The sequence below is a fragment of the Homo sapiens genome, chromosome 7 (genome assembly GCF_000001405.40).
Source record: "Homo sapiens chromosome 7, GRCh38.p14 Primary Assembly".
Classification (NCBI taxonomy): domain Eukaryota; kingdom Metazoa; phylum Chordata; class Mammalia; order Primates; family Hominidae; genus Homo; species Homo sapiens.
The window spans coordinates 132796813-132817427 of record NC_000007.14 but is presented as its reverse complement, the minus strand read 5'-3'; the positions used below and the strand labels follow the sequence as shown (position 1 = coordinate 132817427).

Sequence of the window (20615 nt, the reverse complement as noted above, 5' to 3'; positions counted from 1 at the left end):
TTTTTTTTTAATCTCAATGCACTTTGATATAATAGAGTATCTTTTATGCTATAAAAACTTTCCTTCCCTTTGAAATCTTTGGTCTCACTAGTCCCAGTTGCATCTTAATATTCAAGGAAGGCAGCTGTGTTTTCCTTTAAGCAAATGTAATTGTTGGGGGAAGGCATCTCAGTTTATCCCATGGACAAATACATTATGGGTAATGCCCAAAAAAAAAAAAGAAAGAAAGCTTGGGACCCCAGGAAAATTACATGAATCTTTTCAACTCTTCATAAAGCAGATGAGTGCTGCCCTTTTCTTTAGAGCTGGCAGCTGTGGAGGTTACAGACCAGCACGTGTACAGAGAAATCGCCATCTTTCTTTTAGTTCCCAGGTAAAGACAGAGAAGACAGGGATGCCCTTTGTGTCTCTTGTCTGTTTTTCAGGCAGCCACATTTGTCATAGTTGAACCTACTTCCATTTTGATATTCCAGGGTTTTTTTTCAGGCTTTTGTATGCCATTTATTGAATTCTGGCAAGATTTGGCCGTTCTCGGATCTTCTTTATCTAGGGAAATCCTTTGTGCAAATGTGGGAGGCAATCCTCTCAAGCAATAGAATGAAAAAATACCAGCAGAAGCATGCATTAGTTATCACTGGTAGCAGAATATGGCCCTGGCCCAAGCAGGTTGCATCTAATAGCCTCTTCTTGCCTGGAAGTCTTCTGGTTCCTGGAATGGCTTGGAGTGATCAGGCAAGCCGCTGCCATAAAGGAGGAGGCACAGCAGCAGCTGGGGAGAATCACATTTGGCCCACAATGGCAGTAAGATGGTGCCTGGGAAGCCCTGCTCTCGGATTTGGGGGGAGCTAAATTATGAAGGTTGGATGTGAGATGGTGTCATTAAGGACTTTCTGGAGAGATCGTGCAATTAACTATGAAGCCAAATGAGCCAGTGGGTTAATATATGGGGAAGGTACTCCTAAAATGCTCATAAAGGCAATCTAGTGACTGTCATAAAACTTTCTTTTAAACAGATACTTTTTGAAAGGGTAAATGCTAAATCTGAACCTCAAATCAGCTTTAAAAACAGACATAGCTAAGATCAAGGCTCAAACATTAATAGAGGCCAACTCTTTTACTCCAGAAAGTGAAGAAAGAGACTGCTAAGCCCAGATGATTTTTTTTCCTGGCTTTGCTTCCCTTTTAGAGGATGTGGATTGAGCCAGAAAGGGGCATTATCTGATCTCTATTATTTTCAGAAACTGTGGATTTTGTATGGCAAGGTGCTTATTGGAAGAGAGCCAGGCTTCTCATGAATTTCAACTTGACAAAATGCCCAGTCTGAACTACATGACCATAAGAAAGTGCCGAACCAAGAAAGTCCAACCCAATGCTAAAGATAGAACACTAGGGAAAAGTCTAGTGCAAGGAAAGGCAAATAAATTTTGTTTCAGGCACCAACTCCAATTGATCGTGGTGGCTCCCTGCAGTATTTCATTGAAAAGGATTCGGAGGCTATGACAGACTCAGCCTGAAAGAATGTCAAGATTGATTAGTGATGTCTGTCACTGGCTTAAGCATTGAATGAGTAGGCATTTTTCCTTTGTATTTGCTACTCCTGCTTTAGAAGCATATATAAAAATTTGTTCAACCCTTGACTGACGGTGCGTAAACCAGAAATAGGAAGGATCTGGTTGGGGAAGGGGAGAGAAAGGAGGAAGAGAGAGAAGGAAAAAAGAAGGACGAAAGCCTAAAGGACTGTATAATGCAATTTTCATATCTTTTCTCTGTTCTCTTTTCACTTTTTTTCCTACCAGCAGGTTTGGTGAAATGAAATATCACAAAACAGGACTCTTTATTTTGTTACCTCTTGTCCCAGTATGGCTCCTAGTAGGAGAACTCGTTACTTCTCCCTCATTTCAGGCAACCTGAGCACCAGTGAAACTGTGACTGGCATTTGCAGGGACCTAAAAGGTAATCAGAGTAAGAACAACTGGTAAAATGTCCTTTATGTGCAGTCATTCCTGCCATTTCCTTTGTAATTAATAAGAGAATATATTAACATTCCATTTTGCTTAGCATTTGTAATATATGCAAACATATTAACCTTTGGTACATTTTTGAAATAGTCTCCTGGGCAAAGGCCTTAGTTTATAAGCAGGGAAATAAGACTTCAGTCAGATGGCCTCACTCCTAAATACTGGAAGAAGGAAATGCTCCATCTGTTAAACAGTTCTTTCAGTCTAAATGTTGGCACTTATAACCAATATTGGAGATCTAAAAGTGGCTGGATTTGATGGTGTCTGATAAAAATTAATATTATAATTGATTTGCCATCACGTTGAAATGCCTTGATAAAATGCTCTCATTGCTTTATTTCATTATACAGTATGTGGTTGTGATAAAAATTATCTCATTATGCTATTCAATTTAGATAACAAAACCAGTTATTCAGACCTTAAACGAAAGTTATCATCCTGAGCAGTACTTAAGTCTTTCTCTTTCAGGGTCTTCAGTCCTAGCTCATATTGGAGTTGCTGGCCATAATCCTCCTATTTGACAGTTGACATTGATTAAATTAGGCCAACAAGTCTAAAATTTCAGTTTCATGGTCTGCTGTATAGCCACAGCCATTACATACCTCTAGTACCATGATATGATATATGATATGACATATGATCTGATTTGACAAAACTCCAGATTTTACAGGCTTTTCACATAATAATTTAGTAATGTGTAATTAACTTCTGAATGGTAATCAATCCACACATACTGTGATTTTATGATGTGTAAGGCTTCAGTTTCTCACTCATCCTTCACAAAGGCCAGTCACTCAGGCACAGGGAAGACCTTTAATTTTATCTGGGTTTTCTTTGCATTCAGCCATGGTGCATTTATAGAAAGGAGAATCCTCCTAGTCCATCTTCTTCCCCATTCCTGCTTATGAGTTGGCTACAAGGCCATTACAGGCAGTGCTGTCATTACCTGTCAATTTAAGACCATTTGAAAATGAAATCATCATTAGCACTTTCACATTTCTCCCTATTATTTCTAAATGTCCTTTGGTGGTTAAAGCTTTTGGGAGTATGGGGTAGGGGAAGGGACAGACCTCACAACATGAATAAACTGAAATGTTACCCAACATTTTAGTAACACCGGCATGTCTAGGCCTCCTCCAGAAGACTGCTAGCGTGGCTTCACAAAATAACATGTATGACCTTAAAGATACAGAAAACTCACAAAAAGAGGCTGAAAACCAGTTTCTGGCCTGTTTGAATACTGGTTTAACAGTAATAGAACTTTAACTGTGTGGGTTTATTATTCTTGAAACGTCCAACTTGTCTTAGGCGAGATTTTGCTACTATTAAGGCAAATTAAAGCCGTTTGCCATCAATTCTGTTGAGTTCCCCTCACTGCTTAGTCACAAGTAGCAGCCCTGCCACCAGCAGTGGGTAAATCTATGCCAAGTGTAATTACTTCAAATACAATTCCATTTATTCATAGGGTGGACTGTTGCTCCCCGTGAGCACGTACTTGGGGAAAGAAAAGATATGTAGGTTTATGTTCATTATGTACCCCATGCTGGAGGCGTGATTTTTAACATGAGTACAGCTTTTTAATCCCTTCATCAAAAACACATGCAGCAGCCCTCCTCTTTCTCCACCACCTGAACACTTTGTGGGTACCTTCAAGCTTCATGAGCAGTTACCAACTCTCAGATGTATCGTATTCTAAAACTTGGTTTTTAAGTTGGCTGTTTGAAAATAGCAGCTCATTTTTCTTTGGAAAGAAGATGATAACAAATGGGTAGGTTCCCAGAATAACCTGCAGAAATATATTAACAATAAATGTGTATTAATAATAACAACAGCTACCATTTATTACAGGCTTACTCAGTGCCAGACACTGTGTGGAGAGCTTAAACGTTATCTTACTAATCTTCACAACAATGTTAAACAGTAGGAAATGAGGAAAAATTTGCATCTTAGAGAGATCAAGAAACTTGCCCAAGCTTCCACTGCAAGTAAGAAGTAGACCCCCGTTTTGGATATGCATATTTTAGATGCTAGATCCTGTGTTTTTAACCATCACAGTAAATGGCTAAAACATAAGTATTGACTGTATTCTAGAACTTAAGTATTTATTGGGAAATTGGTTCTCGATTCCAGTTGGGATGTTAAGAACATGTGTAGTTTGGCCACTCTTCTTCACAGGTCTGCCTTGTTCCCCCACATATACACTGGCTAATACGGTGCTGATGAGAAGTGGAGAAGCTACCCCAGTGGCTTCTCAGGGGGAAAGGTTTGAGCAGCTGATGGTGTTTGGCAGATGTGACAAGCACTGGGAATACTGCCCTTTTGGAGCTTCTGGTCTAATGGGAGAAATAACTGATCATCCAAATAACTTGACAATGGCAATTGTGAAAAGTGCTGTCAATGCTATGAGAGCATGTCCCATGGGAATCGACTGTGAGGCATTGGAGACAACCTCTTAAAGCTGATATAAAGGCTAAAATAGTAGGCATTAGGGGAAGGGCAGCAGGGCCAATGCATGTTAAGACGCTGAGGAAGGAGCTGAGCTCCTTTGGGGTTCTGAAGGGAAATCTATTGTGAGAAAGTGTCGTAGAGAGAGATGGAGGCAGGGGTTACATCTTGTAGGACCTAGTAGGTCATAATCACTATTTTGGATGTATCCCAAGAGAGGTAGGAAATCTTGAAGAGTTAGGGTTGTAACCTAGAAGTTGTGAGACCAGATTTGTGGTTTAAAAGGGGCACTCTGGTTGTTGTTGTTTTGATAATGAATTGTGGTAGAGATGAGGGTAAGAGACCAAAAATGGAAACAGAGGGACTACATGGGAGGCTGTTGAAATAGTCCAGGCAAGTGGTTATGGTGGTTCAGACTAGGATAATGGCAATGGAAATACAAAGTGGTCCATTCCAGGCCAGGCGCGGTGGCTCATGCCTGTAATTCCAGCATTTTGGGAGGCCGAGATGGGTAGATCACTTGAGGTCAAGAGTTTGAGACCAACCTGGCCAACATGGTGAAACCCCATCTCTACTGAAAATACAAAAATAGCTGGGCTTGGTGGTGGACACCTGTAATCCCAGCTACTGGAGAGGCTGAGGCAGGAGAATCAGCTTGAACTCAGGAGGCAGAGGTTGCAGTGAGGTGAGATTGCACCACTGCATTCCAGCCTGGGCTACAGCAAGACTCCATCTCAAAAAAAAAAAAAAAAAAAAAAAAAAAAGAAAAGAAAAAAAGGAAGTGGTCAATTCTAGATCTATTAGAATTTAGACTAGACTACGTGACAGAATGGATATTGGGAATGAAAGGGGGAAAGGGGGAGGTATCAAGGACAACTCCCTGATCTTGAAGGGTCTATTTACTGAGATGGGGAAGAAAAAAAATAAATTGGAGGTAGAGGAGGGAATTAGTTCAGTTTTAAACATGTGGTACCTGTAATGCCTTCCACGTAAATAGCAATAGTCAGTCACCTATAAGAGGGCTGGGCTAGAGATACAAATTAGATAGCGACCAACACACAGATGGTATTTAAAGCCATGAGAATGGCTGAGGTGTCTGTGGAGAGAGGGGAGAGAGAAGAGCAAAGAGACCTCCAGGACCATCACTCCAAGGAACTCCAACATTGAGGGATCAGTTAGAAGACAATGAGCCAGAGAGCCGGGAGGAAAAACAGGAGAGTGTAGTATTATGGAAGCCAAGAAACTCTTTTCAAGAAAGGGGCAATTTACTGGAACAAGTCTGTGCTGATCGGGTCCTATAAGATGTCTACTAAAAATCATTGGATTTGACCACTTAGAGGCCTCTGATTTTAGCAAGAGCAGTTCTATCCAACAGTTGAATGAAAGCCACTTTGGCATGGATAGAAAAGAATGGATGGAAGGTAAGGAAGTGGAGGCAGAAATTGAAAGGGTATTTGCTAGAGCTGTGCTTCCAACAACATGGTAGCCACTAGCCACTTATGACTGTTTAAATGTATTAAAATTTAGTAAAATTTAACATGCATTTCCTTTGTTTGCACTAGTCATATTTCAGGTGCTTACTTGCCACCGGTGGTGTGACCACCATGTTGGGACAGCGTAGATTTAGTACATTTCCATCACTGAAGAAAGCACTGTTGGATAGCACTGTTCTAGAGAATGCCAGAATGTGGTGAGAACCATCTCAGGAGAGAAAATCCCACTAGCAGGCAAGGGTGGGGGAAGGTAAGAATTGGATCCATGCATAGGGATTGCCTTTCTTTGGATGAGAGAGACACTCTTCCTCCAAAGTATCAATAGAAAAGAAGATGGGTGCAGATCCAGATCTTATGTTGGGAAGATGAGGGAGTTATCTTTTGGTTTATTTTTTTTTTCTCAATGAAACAACAGGCCAGCACATTAGCCAAGGGTGGAAAGGGAAAAGAACCAGGCGAGATTTTTGAGGAGGCTGCAGATGGCATGAATAATCCTAGTAATAGGGGGAGAGTGAGTTTACCAAAGAAGTGCCATAACATTGTGGCAGGATTTAGTGCCTGTGAATTTATAGTGATTCTAGTTTCCCTAGTTTTGTGATTTTTCTCCAGACATACTCAACTGGAGAGTAGTATTAAGGGGCTGTCATAAGGCAGCCATTCTTAGGTTGGGTTGTGTGTAATGGCATATATTAATACTGCTGAATTGGAACCCTTAGGGAGATGTAAAACTAATGGAGCTCAGCATGGTGAATCCAATCCAGACATGAATTGAGAAATGCATTATTTGGTCCTACAGTAATATATCATTATCCCTTTACGTAGAAATCATTGAGATTCCACCTCTGAAATACTCGTGTATGAGACTCATCATAATCATTTGGAGAATCTGTGTGGTAGATTGTTGTTTTCTATACTTCGTAGTTGGTCTTGTTCATTTTAGTCTCAGCAGCAGACTAGAATGTTAAGCCAATTTGCTAAATCTTGCCTGTCCTCTGTAAAATGCTTAAATCCGTTTATATAATACAAAGGGATATGTTGGAATTTAATGCCTTCTTATGGCATCAGTACTGAATATTTAATCAGAACAAAAAGAGAAACATGTTAGAATTTTCAAATTACAGAGTTACCGTGTGGATGCTTCACAGAGGTACGTGCAGTTCAGTGTGCTTATACACCCGTATGAACTTCTCACATTTATTAGCTATAAAATACTTCGAAGGTGTATTTTCTTCTAGTTTTTATATTTAATTTATGGAATATTAAGTAGGAAAATATTAGCAACTACTTGGATGCATGCTGCACTTATTTTCTAAGAATTAGTAAATAATGTTATCATGTGTGATTAGTTGTGTTTAATGCTAGAGATGAGATATTACGAATTAGCAACTCACCTTCTAAGTTCTTTTCCTTACCAGTTACCTTAAACATATCCATTTCCCAAATAGAGACCATTTTCTCATTTCCAGGGACTTTCAGGAGATTAAAAGGTTAACATTTACAATGCTCTGATTTCAAGACTGCAAGGCACTATGTACAAAATTCGTATGTTGTTTGAGCACTTTTTTTAAAGCCTCTATGTTCAAACCTTTTGAAATGAATTTAGTTCCTATGGAAACTTATCGCTGCTGTAGATAGTGCCCTTATCCAAGAGAAGAAAATAAAATCAATTCAGAGAATGATTTTATAATTGTATAACATAGCTTGGGAATGGACATTAGGAATATGTGCAGTTGCGCTCTTCGGCTGTTATACTGGTTCATATTAGATTGTGTTTGAAAACAACCTTGCAAATGTCACCATCTGTCCTTCACTTTGAGGCCAGAATAGGTAATAGTGGTTTAACAGAAATTTCAGTGGGTACTCTTTCTTGCAACATCACAAGTAATACCTTGTGAGGAGGCAGGGGATATGATAAATATTTTGGAAGTAAAATTAGCTTTGGTAGGTGGAGGAGAGGGAGAAGGAAGAATGCTGTTGACTCCTGGGAAAGATTGGCATTTTGCAGGCTATTCATTCACTAGAATTCGTGTAGATGAACACAAAAAGGAGGCAGCTGAGGCAGATAGACTATTTGAAAGTTAAGTAATAGTAGTGTATGCTTGAAGTGATAACTTAGCCTATGGTAAGGATATGGGAAACTGAGGAATGTTAAAAGTGAAAGGTATTTTAAAACAGGAACTAACAATCTCAGTGACTTCTTGAAAATAAAGAATTAGCCGGTGCTGTGGCTTATGCCATATCCTAGTACTTTGGGAGGCCAAGAAGGGCAGATCACTTGAGCCCAGAAGTTTGAGACCAGCCTGGGCAACATGGTGAAACCCCATCTCAGCAAAAAAAAAAAAAAAATCACAAAAATTAGCCAAGTGTGGTGGTACACGCCTGTAGTCCCAGCTACTCAGGAGGCTGAGGTGGGAGGATCACCTGAGCCCAGGAGGTCAAAGCTACAGTGAACTGTGATCACAGCACTGCACTCCAGCCTGGGTGATAGAGCGAGATCCTGTCTCAAGAAAAATAATAATTTAAAAAAAGGTTTTTTGTTCTTGCGATAGTTTACTGAGAATGATGATTTCCAGTTTCGTGGGGGGAGGGGGGAGGGATAGCATTGGGAGATATACCTAATGCTAGATGACGAGTTAGTGGGTGCAGCGTACCAGCATGGCACATGTATACATATGTAACTAACCTGCACAATGTGCACATGTACCCTAAAACTTAAAGTATAATAAAAAAAAAAAGGAAAATAAATAACAACAAAAGAACCAAAAATTGATGTATGATGATGAGCTAACAATATTGCTGTTGATGAAAAGTAGGAGGAAAATCTTGTTTGGATAAGAAAACAAATAATAAATTGACCATAACCAGTTGATACTTAGAGTCTTAGAAGGAATCTAAAAGGATCGTCAGATGTAGTCCCTGGCTTCAGATGGCTAAGATTACTGATTGTATATTTTATAGAAGAACTGAAGACTAAAGAAACCTAAGATCACACAGCTACTGACTGGTGAAGAGACTCGAAATCCATTTCAGTCACAAACAGAGTCGTAGGAGTACCTCTAAAGAAAGAAAATACTTTCACAAGGAACTGTAGAAGAGGAGTAGGGACATAGATCTGAGCTTTGGGAATTACTTATAAATAAAAGTGGAAAGCAGGTGGGGAGAGAGCAATTAAAAAGACAGAGAAGGGGCCAACTTACAATTTCATGAATAGAGAAAGCTTCCAGGCTTTCCAAATGCTCGTGTTACACCTCACACCCAATGGCTTGCCCCATGACTTCAATAATGTGTTGGTTTCTCTGTGTCTTTTCTCACAAGGTTACTGAGATACTAAATCAGAAGGGTTTGTGCCAAACTTGTGCTGAAGGCTGATAATGTAGGGAGCATTATGAATTGTTTCCCAGCTTACATTTTGGTCTTTGTGTAGAGTTTGCATGTGGGATTTCATATCTGTCGTCTTTAAGTTTTCAATCAGTTTTCTATTTAGTGCCACAAAACGTGTGGAAATGGCATCACCATTAGGAATTGTGGTGCCCAGGCATCTAGAGGGAAAAGCAAACTTCATTACAGCAATTTCTCGGAGGATACAATATATATAAATAAAATGCCGTATATTTTTGAACATTATTTCTTGATAAGCAATATATGCACATGATAGAAAATGTAAATATTATATGCAAAAGTCAATCTCCTTCATAACTCTTTGGCCACCTATCCAACTCCCCTGCTTGGAAGCAACTGCTATTTGCAATTGTGTATTTTTTCAGATATATTTTATAATCATTTCTCAGCCTTTTGGCTAAGATCAAGTGTAGGTATTTATGTCAAGTATATATATATATATATATATATATATATATATATATATTTATGTGTATGTTAGCATATACATGGTATATGATTTTAAATTAAACTTGTGAAATCATGAGCTCATGCAGAATAAGTAATCATTGCTGTCTAGCATCCATAAACTCTTATTCCATTTTCCATTACTCATTAACCATTCATTTTACTGCACGTCTGTTTTGGAGAGCAAGAAAGGACTTGGGCTGGAAGTACTGGACACTCAGTATAAGTGTGAGGTGAAGCCCATCAGTAAATGAGTAAATATATTCCTGCCTTAGATATACTTACCTTATATGTAAAATTAGATGCTGTAGTGGAAAGTACAGCCTGGGGGGCAGAGAGGACCTGGAGTATCCCTTGCCAGCGTTGAGCATCTCCCATCATGGGGTCCCCTACACCTGCTCAGGTACCACTGCAGGGCCAGGCAGCGGGGCCTCCCCCAAGTTCATACTCCGTCTCTGCTGTTCTGTGTCCAGCTCCTTTAGGAGAACCTTCTTCTCATGTACTGCTTTTTTCTCATGCGTGGGCTTACTCACCAGAATCCCTCTTGCTATCAGAGCACTGACCCAGCTGGTGAGGTTTCCCACCCAGCAAACCATTTCCTTCCACTCCTCCCCATCTCACCAGCCTCATTTTGTAATATCCTTCACTGTGGACACCCTTCTTAGGAAATCGAAGTGTTATTCCTTAACCACACCAGGTCTGCAAGGACCATGCCCTCCTTTCTGCCTGCCCTTCTTTGTCTTTCTTTCAAAGAATTGAAAACTCACTCTTTTCACACTACCTTCCCTGACATCCTAACTTTTAAGCACATTTTTACTGGTTCCTCTACTTGATGGGAATGTCATGGTCTGCTTGCAGAATGTGTCCTTGATGAAAGTGTTTTGGCTCTTTAATCTGTATGTAAATTTCCATGTGAATCTTAAAAAAAAAAAAAGTCTGTTAGAGATGTCACTGCCTCCAGCTCTAGCCTTTTCTTCTCTCTTCTTTTGCTGCCTTTCCTTCATTTACTTGTCTGTCTAGAATGCCTTTGTATCCCATGTCTAACTGCCTAAGCCCTTTCCATTCTTGAAGACCCTAGTGAAATTCCATTATCTCATCTAAAACTTTTCCTAGTCATCTCCAGCCAGATGTAATCCTTCCCTTTGGTATTTTACTGTTGCCAGATGTGTCCCTTTAAAGCAGTTCTTAATGGGCTAGATAGGTCTGCCTGACTCAGTCTCTTGGTCTTGTCCCACAGTGCCTAGTATCTCACAGGCACTCTAAAGGATATGGAATTGACCTCATCCTGCCACCTCCATTTCTTCTTCACTGCCCACTTTCTTCTTTACCAATTTCTACCTGGCTTCTGCCTCACGCTCTCTGCTCAGATTCTTTCTCCAGCTTGCTATGGAGCACATTCCTTGGCCATTTATCAGTCTTCCTTCTTTTTGACTGTCTTCTCTGTCGTGAAACTCTGGTCTCCCCAGCCTTGTGATGCTGTGTTACACCAGTTCTCTCCACGGTCAGTTCCCCTACTGCTCCATCTTCCTTCCCTGTCACCCCCAGGTATGGACTGTTCCCCAAGCTTCTGCTGTCCTTTCTGCCCTTTGCCTCTATGCTCCCCACCACATCTTGCAGGGCATTTTGACACTGCAGCTGTAGCCCTGCCATCATGCTGAGCTCCAACTCCACGCTTTAGATCGTGGTGAGGAGGTGTCATTTCCACTTGAGCTTCCTGTCATTACTCGAGCATGTTTATTCTTTAAATCCCCAAGGCCTAAGCCATCCTGTGATTCTCTCAGTCCTTCCTCTTCTTTACTTCCATGTCCTCTCAGTTACCACATCATTCCATCCTTGCTTTCCATGCCTCCATTCTTGCCGGATCATTCTCTTCATCAGCTTGTTTCATCTTTATAGCTGGGTGCTGCTCCACTGACCTCTCTGCCATGGAGTTCCACTTCTATCCATCTGATTTATTTTTACACTGGATCCGCCTTCTCAAGATGGTACCTTTATAACTTCACCCTCTCATTTAGAAAGGCCAGTGGCTTGTCAACACCTGCAGGATAGACTCTAGGTGTGCTGTCTCTTCTTGGCAGACTGTCCATATCCCGGCCCCTCCCTTCTTAGCACTACCCAACCCTTCCAACCCTCTACTACAACCTGAGTCCCTTGAATATGCCAGACTCGATTGAGCCTGGACCTCAGCTCACCTAGATCCTCTCAAACGCCCTCTGAGTCTTACAGTCCTGCCCTTCACTCTGTGGGATTTTTAAAGTCCCATCTCCTCTCTTCCTTGGAACCCCCCCAGACTACCCCTTCCCCCACACTGTCCACGCACAATAGAATGGTTATGCCCTCAGAACAGCTGTAGTGTATACTGCCTGTACTGTTTCCTTGACACTTCGGTTGCCTTGTGTTACTTGTGACCTTTATGAGTGTGTATGTTTCTCCCCCAGTAAATAAGTTTCTTGGGGGAGTATTTAGTATTCTCTCCCCTCCCCTTTGTTCCTGCACATCCTTTACTCCCCCTTCCTAGTCTGTACACAGTGGCACAGCTCTGATGTCCACATGACATTCTTTCTGCCTCGCAGCACTGCATCCAAGGAAGTTTGGCAGCATGGCCTATTGGCCCCATTTTGGGATTTCCCTCTTCCAGTAGCAGTGCCTAAGCATTCTCCTCTTCAAGTAACCGATAGGGATGGAAAACAGACAAAAGGCTTGACTCTACCCCTCCTCCCACTGCTGCTCCCGCCACTCTTCATTTTTAGCACTCTGACACTTAAAGGGCAAATCAATATGGATAATTTTTTTTCTTCACTTGTCCCTAAAATAAATACATTTGCAATTCTTTCAGTTAAGGGAGCCAGACACAGTCCTTCCAGTGTGTATCTGGTATTTGGATCTTGCTTTTAAAATGTAGTAGAAAAAAGTGTATCACGTAAAGTAATGTAACACGCTCTCTCACCACAAACTTAAATTTTGGTCTTAACCTAGTTTTTTAGAATGTGTCACAGTCCTCATTGAGATATGTGACAGTTTTGAAATTTTTAAAATTAAACTGTTCTTGACTTCTCTTGGTATTAAAAGCACTCTCTTAAATTTGATCACGGCAGGGAAGAGGTAGGGGTACTGGAATGTATTTTTATGCATGGACTACTCAAATGAAATTTCACCAAACTTCGCACCACCCGAGTCACCCCTCAGCTGAGAATGAGCATATAAAATTCATCCCAAAGGGCAATTCTTTGTGAAAAATTATAATCACCTAAAAATAGAAGCTCCGCATGAATGTGTGCCCACTTATATTTCTGCACAGAACGCAGCTTGCATACTACCCAACAGCAAGAGTCTGTGATTGTAAGCTATTATAATAGATTGAGGAAAGTGATATAAGAAGGTCCATGAAGTATGTATTTCTCCAAATAGGGAAGGATTATTTCTGGGAGGGTATGTTTGATGTTCCCTTCAGTTTTCTCATTAAGTCTTAGGTTGATTGTTAGTATCCTTTGTTGGAAAAACCTTGTAGATTGCCAGGCCTGGTGCCCTGTCCCTTGGCTACATTGGGGACTCCCGTGTTGGCTATTTCCAGTTATCTACCTTCTAAACATGAGGTTTTCTGCAGGAAAAATGGGTGATAAAGGCAGTACCACCCCTTCAAGAACCTGAAATTAAAGTTACCTTCGAAGACAAGATGTCATAGTTTGCTTTAGTTCCCAGCCTTGAACTCCCCATTTCTCTCCCTCGTCATTCCCAGTGGGTGGGTTGCTGTGCCCAGCCAATCCCTCTGTTTTTTCTCCACCTGCCAGATTCGTGCAGGTGGAGAAAAAACAGAGGGACTGGCTGGGCACAGCAACCCACCACCGGGAAGAGTGTATTCCTTCCCTTTCTCCTCTAGTTCCAATAGATTATTTTGCTTCCTAATATCTTTCTGCTTTCCTCAACTTATCCCAGTTCCTCCTGTCTTCCTTCTGTTTTGGGAGTGACTGAGTAGATAAAGGAATAAATGAACCAACCAACCCTCATGTTTTTAATCCTAAGACCAATTTTGATGAACATTCCAAAGTAGCATCATGAGGGATTGGAAATAACTCACAAAGCCTCGAGGGTATCACCATAAGTAGAATACATTATATAGATATTTAAGAAAATAGTTATTTAAGGAAAAATCTATGATTGATGCATTGTATATGGCTCATGATGAACATATTTCTGTTATGTAATTAAACAGTTGTTTTACGAAGTCAGGAGAGAGTAAATGCCATGCCTTTATTTAATAATAGTAATAATAACGATGCTTTTCTTGACCCTGAAACCTAATTGAGATATTCAAATAAAAAGTTTGGTCTGTGTTAAGATTACTTGGTCTCATTCACACATTGATATATCCTTTGGAGATTCGGATTTAACAGTTTCATTCCAATACCTGTGGATCTTTTGAAAGGACAAAGAGAATAATCTTCAAATTTGCAATTATTATAACCAAGGGCTACTTCTATGGGCTGTGATTTTATTCTGTTCCCACTATGTGCATGCTAGGAGGTAGTTCTACCCAGAATACTTTATATAACTGCTGCTAGAAAACTGCATTGTTAACCCACTAGTGCTTGTTTTTATTACAGCGTTATTATTTGACATTTGTTAAGCAATAACAATATTTCAAGCATTGTTAAGAAAGAAAGGGAGGGAGGGATGGCTTATAGCTCTCTAAATAAAGGCTTCCCACCCAGACGAAAGCGCAATTTGTTAGCTGTAGAATTTTGCCTGTTGAGAAGACTTTGTAGGCTTGAGAAAATAGCATCCCATGAGTACATGGTTGTTCTAAATTATATGTGATCTGGAAGTTTATTTGGGGTCCTTCCAGATTGAGTTCATGTTGCCATCAGTTATGTTGAGTCACCAAACTCTGTACAATTATTGCCTCTTAGTCCTGGTATCTTTTAAGTAAGAATTAAGTAAAAATTTTATCTCCCTTTTTAGCGATATGTAGCCCAAATATAAGTCAAGAACACCAAGATATGGTGGAAAGTAAAAATTAGCCAATGGCTTGTTTCTTCCACCTCATACCAAATGTCTGACTTCCCAAATCCTTCCACCTGTTAAACAACTAAACAAAACTGGGGACCCTCATTCTTTGGAGACCCAGTTTCCTAAGTTCAGACCTCTAATGAGGAATAGGAACTCTCCAGCTCTTCAGTTGTGCTGGGTGAGCCCATACAGTGGGATCCAGCTCAGGGTTTGGTGCAGTTGGCAAGATCCCAAGAGGGTTTTCTGTGAAGGGTAGAATGAGAGCTGTGGCTTGAGAAGAAACCAGGCAGCAGGGGAGTCCCATCGTGTCAGGGTGTGTTACTCTCCCCTGAGCACCACAGAGAAGACACCAACCCCTACCAGCTGTCACGTGGCCACATGTTATTAGAGTCCTGCTCTCCTAGGTTTTTCCACCCTGCCCCCCATCATTTCCAAGGACCCAATATTATTGAAAAAGAAAAACATATTGCAAAATTGAAAAGTTGTTTGCTCACCTTACACTTTGGTATGTTTGTACCCATCTGTTTAGGGTGTATGAGGCCTATTGGCATAAGAACTGTGTATCTGTGTATATAGAGTACTGTTGCTCATTTTAGCAGGGATAGGTGGCCAGAGGTCCTCTCTTTTGGATTTTCCTGGGTTTAGGGCTTTTACTCAGGGTCCTAACACTGGAGTGGAAGGCTGGCAGTGCTTTCCCCTCCTGCCCTCCAGGTCACGTTCCCCACGTAGATCTGACTGTGGAATTGTGAACCTGACATCTTTTTCCAAAGTCAACAGTGGATTAAAATTAAAATGTTAAGTCTTAAAGTATTTTCAGATAGAAACTATTCTTTCAAACCTTGGGTTTATAGGATAGAATTTTATATGCTCTGTTTTCTAGCTAGCCAAAGCTAACCTTTTCTTTTAAAGCCCAAGCTGTAGCTATTTGATTAAATAGTATGGCCCTCATTACAGGTCATAGTCTGCTCTCAGTGTGACTGGTTCGTTGAGCTAAGTACTGAGCTAGGTGATGTCCAGGTTGGCATTCCTTTCTCTGGTAACAGTGGAGGCTGCTTGGCATTTTGTGTTGTGATGGTAGAAAACATATTAGTTAACATTCATCATGTTAGTAATCAAAAGAAATAGCATCTCAAATTGTATATGAAAACAAATGGAAACAAAGCAGGCAGCTTTTGGAGCTGTTTGGACCACTTTAGAGAGGGACTTCTGAAGTGTAATTGTGGAAATTTGATTACAGCTCAAATGGAAATGTCATTAATAAAATGGTTAGCAGTTATTAAGAATGTCAGGAAAGCTTAAAATTGAATTTTTCAGATCTTGCATAATTAGAGACTACATTTTACTCTGAAAACAAATATTAGGATATTTAGATTTAAGGTAAAATTAAAAATAAAAAGTTAATATAGTACATTTCAGATAAATATTTTCTTCCTTCATATTGCATTTTACGATAGATTAATTATAAGTGATGAGAAAAACAAAAGTGAATGATTACATATTTTTAAATATTGGCAATGTGCCTAGTAGCTTTAGTTTTGTGTTTTAAAAGAAAAGCAGAAATCCTGATCACTGGGTTTAACAGCTAATGAAAAGTTGGTAGAGAAAAAATTAAAGTTTTTGCATTGTGCTATAGGAATTAGACCTAAAGATTTGATTCCCTGACTGTGTTGTGTGTCGGCTTTTAGTGTAAAATATGGTTTTATGAGACCACCTGATCCCATGAAGGATGCATTATCAGAACCTGTTAAAAAAAAAATAGAATTCTCCTTTTAACACCAGCCATTCTCATCTTCATTTTCTCTCTCCCTCCTTCTTTCCTTCTTGTTCCCTCTCTTCTCCCTCTCTCTGGTATTTCATCATAGTATCTGTAGAACTCTCTCAGCATACTTCTGGTTCAGGTACAGGGAAAGGATCCTTTCTTTGCATGCCTAGACTCGTAATGAGTGACTTCAGTGTCCTCTAGAGCCTTGGGAGTTGTGGCTGCTAACTGATTGTCATTACATGATTTTTTTAGCCTTCTGAGTGGAGAGTGGTGTGAGGAGTGTTATCTCCACATTTTTTCCTTCTCTGAAGTTACCTTATTATCCTTACCATTAATATTAGCAGAACTAAAAAGATGGGTAAGTAGTTTTCTTGAAATGTAAAGCTCAGACCCACATCAAAGAAGGTTCTAAGACTTGAAAATAGAGGCAGCAGTGGAACCAACAGATAGTTTTAAAACAGATAACCGAGTGTAACTGTGTTATAGAGTCTTAAGAGGGGACTTCTGAATACTCCCTTGGCTTTGTTTTTGCTAAAACTGTTTTCGTTTCTCTTTGATCAGTTAATTTAACTTACAGGAAAGTCTCCTAAGGTAATAATCAGAAATGGTAGTTAATAATTTATGTCCTTCACCATGTTTTTTAAGCAGTGAAAAATTAGAAACAGCCTAAATGTGTATCTTTATTCTTTTCTTTTTCCAAAGTTTCTACAATAGACCTGTTAGTATAAGGAGAAAAAATACTTGGATATATATTTTTTTAGATGCCTTTTAAGTGAATATTAACATTAAACATTAGCCAAAGAATGTTTTACTGGTGACAGGCTACAGAATATCTACCAGAAGTGCTTCTTTTGATTTTGTTCTGGGGTCAAATCTTTGGGACTCCAGTTCTACCTTTGGTACTGTCAGCAACCCCTTGGGCCTTTGGTGCCACTGTGTGGGGTAGGGAGGGCCAAAGGGAGGGCGGGCTGCTAGTGCTTGTGGAGATGAGGGGAGAGAAAGGGAAGAGCAGAGTAAAAGAGTATAAGAAAGAAAAGAAAAGAGATGTGCATACATATGGTAGGATCCATGAAAGGTTCCCAGTAATTTCAAGTGACCACAAAACTGGATTTTTTTTCTTGTTTTTGTTACATGTATATTTTCAAAGGTTGACTCTATTCCACCGATTTCTTCTTGCTAAACATGTTTTTGAGTAACTATTAGATCTTCCCACTTCTTTATTAGTGTTTTAAGTTTTCCAAATCTATATTTCATCCTTCTCTTACCATTGTCATTCACCATTTCTTTGCCTCTTCCTTACATACAAAGAAATTAACTTGTCTAATCGTCCTTTGCTGCTAAGACTTAATTTTCCTTCCTAGGTATCTTGAAAGTCTGCCTTTCATTATTTTTGCCTAATAGGGGCTTTTTCCATCAGCAGGAATGAAAGCAGTCAATAAAAGTCAATTGCTGACTCTATGAATATATGGAGGGTTTACCATAATGCATATTGGAAATGTTTTGAAACCTTTATCCTGAATGGAAGGTGCCATGGCTTGTGTTTTATGGCCTTCTAATGTTAGACAGCAATCTCATTTAGCATTTTCCCAAAGTGAAAACAGTGCATTAGGGCAGTATAACAAGCTTTACAGATCAATACAGAGGCAAACCTTTACCCTTACAGATTAATCCAAGAAAATGTCCCAGAGTCTACTCCTGGAGCTGGAGGACAATTATGCTGATTTCCATTCCTCTTCCCCTCTTTCTACCATCAAATCATTAATACAGATTGAAGTGTGTACAAAAAGAATTTCAGAGGATGACTGCACACACACACACACACACACACACACACACACACACACACACAGAACAGATCACCAAACAGGAAATCAAGAGCCCTGGAAGTGAGTAGTATTGATTTGTGGTGATAAAAGTATATTTTGACACATTTCAAATCATAAATAACGCATGGACTTTAACTTGCATGACTAATAGCTCAACCCAGGATACATGCTTATCTACAACTTAAACTACCTCTTTCTAAGGAGTCCATAACATGAGGTGAATTATCCCATCGTGAGTAGACTTTTTAAAGGAAAAAATAAACTGTCTTCTTTATGACATGCAGTGTGTGGATGCTCATTTTTACAGTCTTTTCCCGTATGTTAATGAGGAAGGGCTGCATATCTGGTCAGGGTTGTTCTAGCCTTCCCTCCTCACCTCCTTCCCCCTGCTTTTAAATCTGAGACACATTGGAGACACGATCAGTTGTCAACACTAGGATAGAATGTAACCTTGCTTTCCTATGAGCTATTAGTCATTAGTCATGTATTTGCTAGGTTCAGCTGATCTGATGCTTAATCATATTTTATTCGATATTTATCTAGATGCAGGTCTTGCTATAATTAGTCACTTAGTGGTATCTGTGCCTATACTCTTTGAAGCACGGCTGATTCCTTTTAAATCCTGATGTTCGTGGTAAAGGATTAGGGAAATCTGTGTCCAGAAAAATTCACAGACATCTGAAGTTTGAAATCTTAAAGCATGGAAACTCCTGGGATTCTATTTAATTCTGTTCTTAGGTATTTGACAAAGCAGTAAGGTAATGAATGAAAAAGTAAAAGTGATGTTATAGAAAAATTGTTGAAACATTTTTTTTTCTCTGTATGTCTGTGTTCTTTAGAGGATAGTAGGAAGTCAGGGAACCACCAACATGCTTTGCATTTCTATTCTAGTAAAATATATATTAGCTTAGTGTACTGGATAAAAATAATGAGACAAATCATCACCCAGGCGTTTCCTTATTGATGAGAAATATTCCCCCTGTGTTCTCTAGGGGTTTTGTTTGAACCCATTAAATTTAAAATAATGTGATTTCAAGATTACTATGGAAATAACAAATTTAAATTTCAAAAATAGAAGTGATAAGACTGGAAGCTTCTTGTATTAAGACTAATTTGAAAAAACACGAATTTCAAGATTAAAAGTAGTAATATTGTGCTTTTTTTCTCTGTATGTATTTAATCCTTGCAGTCCAAACTTCCCTGCCGTATTAATCAGAATATTTTACCTTCATTCGTATAACTCATTTGGTTCATTATCATTTTTCAAGCATATATTATAAGGTTTTTGGAAACATTTACATTTGGTCTCACATATTCACAGAAGCAATCTGACTAAAATCTGAGATTTGTAAGTATAAGTAGCAAAATTTTAACCCAGGGGACTTTAAAATGTTTTCTTTGCACCGATTTGTATTCATTCAGTAAATGTATTACATGACTTCTGTAGGGTTCCGATGTCTAATAGCTGAGGTAACAAAGAAAATAAGTCACAGTCCTTGGAATTTACATTCTAGTAAATGTAGGTTGCTAAATTGTATTAGACTATGGTGTAGTCAGTGTCACATGCATGGCAAGAAAAGTGAATACGGGACCAATGGGGTCACCATAAAGGGAATGATAGACTGTACCAGGGTTGGGGGGTGGAGAGCTAATGAAAGCTGACACTTGAGTGAAGTATCAAAGGATGAGTAGGTTTTTTCCAGATATAGAGGCATAGGTGGGAGTTTGGGCGTAGAGCATTTCCAGAAGCAAGAGCAGCATGAGCTTAGACTTGAAGAGAAGTGTAAGAACGAAACCCTGAATTGGGTTTGTCCAGGCTTCAGCTGTGTGCAGGGTTGGGGGGTGAAGGCCACAGAGTAGGCAGGAACCTGGTCAAGAAGGACCAGCCAGCTGGCCTTGTATTTTGTGTAGAAAGTGCTGGGAAAAGAGACCATCTTCGATTTCCTATGGGAAAGAACCCTCTGGAAGGTGTGTGCAGGCAGGAGTAGAGGGTGTCAAAGCTGAGAGACCAGCTGGGAGGTTGTTTCTTGAATTCAGGATGTGGCTCACTTGGAAGCAATGTAACGACAGTGAGTGTGGAGCAGGAGGACCAGGCCGTAGGGATCTCCAACTTTGTGACCAAGTGGATATGGGAATGGAAGAGAGAACTTAGGGCTTCCAAGTTTCTGGCATGTTGATATGGTTTCGGTTTGGAAGGGATGGTTATATTGTCCAGACT

General features: G+C 39.8%; 1 protein-coding gene across 4 annotated transcripts in view; it reads left to right on the top strand.

The window, feature by feature from the left end:
* Positions 1-20615, top strand: part of CHCHD3 (coiled-coil-helix-coiled-coil-helix domain containing 3) — a 297221-nt gene that overhangs the window by 264663 nt on the left and 11943 nt on the right. The window contains exons 8-9 of one of the 4 annotated variants that reach the window (NR_133671.2): positions 1800-1953; positions 3867-4003. The exons of the other annotated variants lie outside the window; for them this stretch is intronic. The gene's annotated coding sequence lies outside the window, so the exon portion shown is untranslated. The remainder of the gene's footprint in view (positions 1-1799; positions 1954-3866; positions 4004-20615) is intronic. 4 annotated transcript variants of the gene reach the window in all.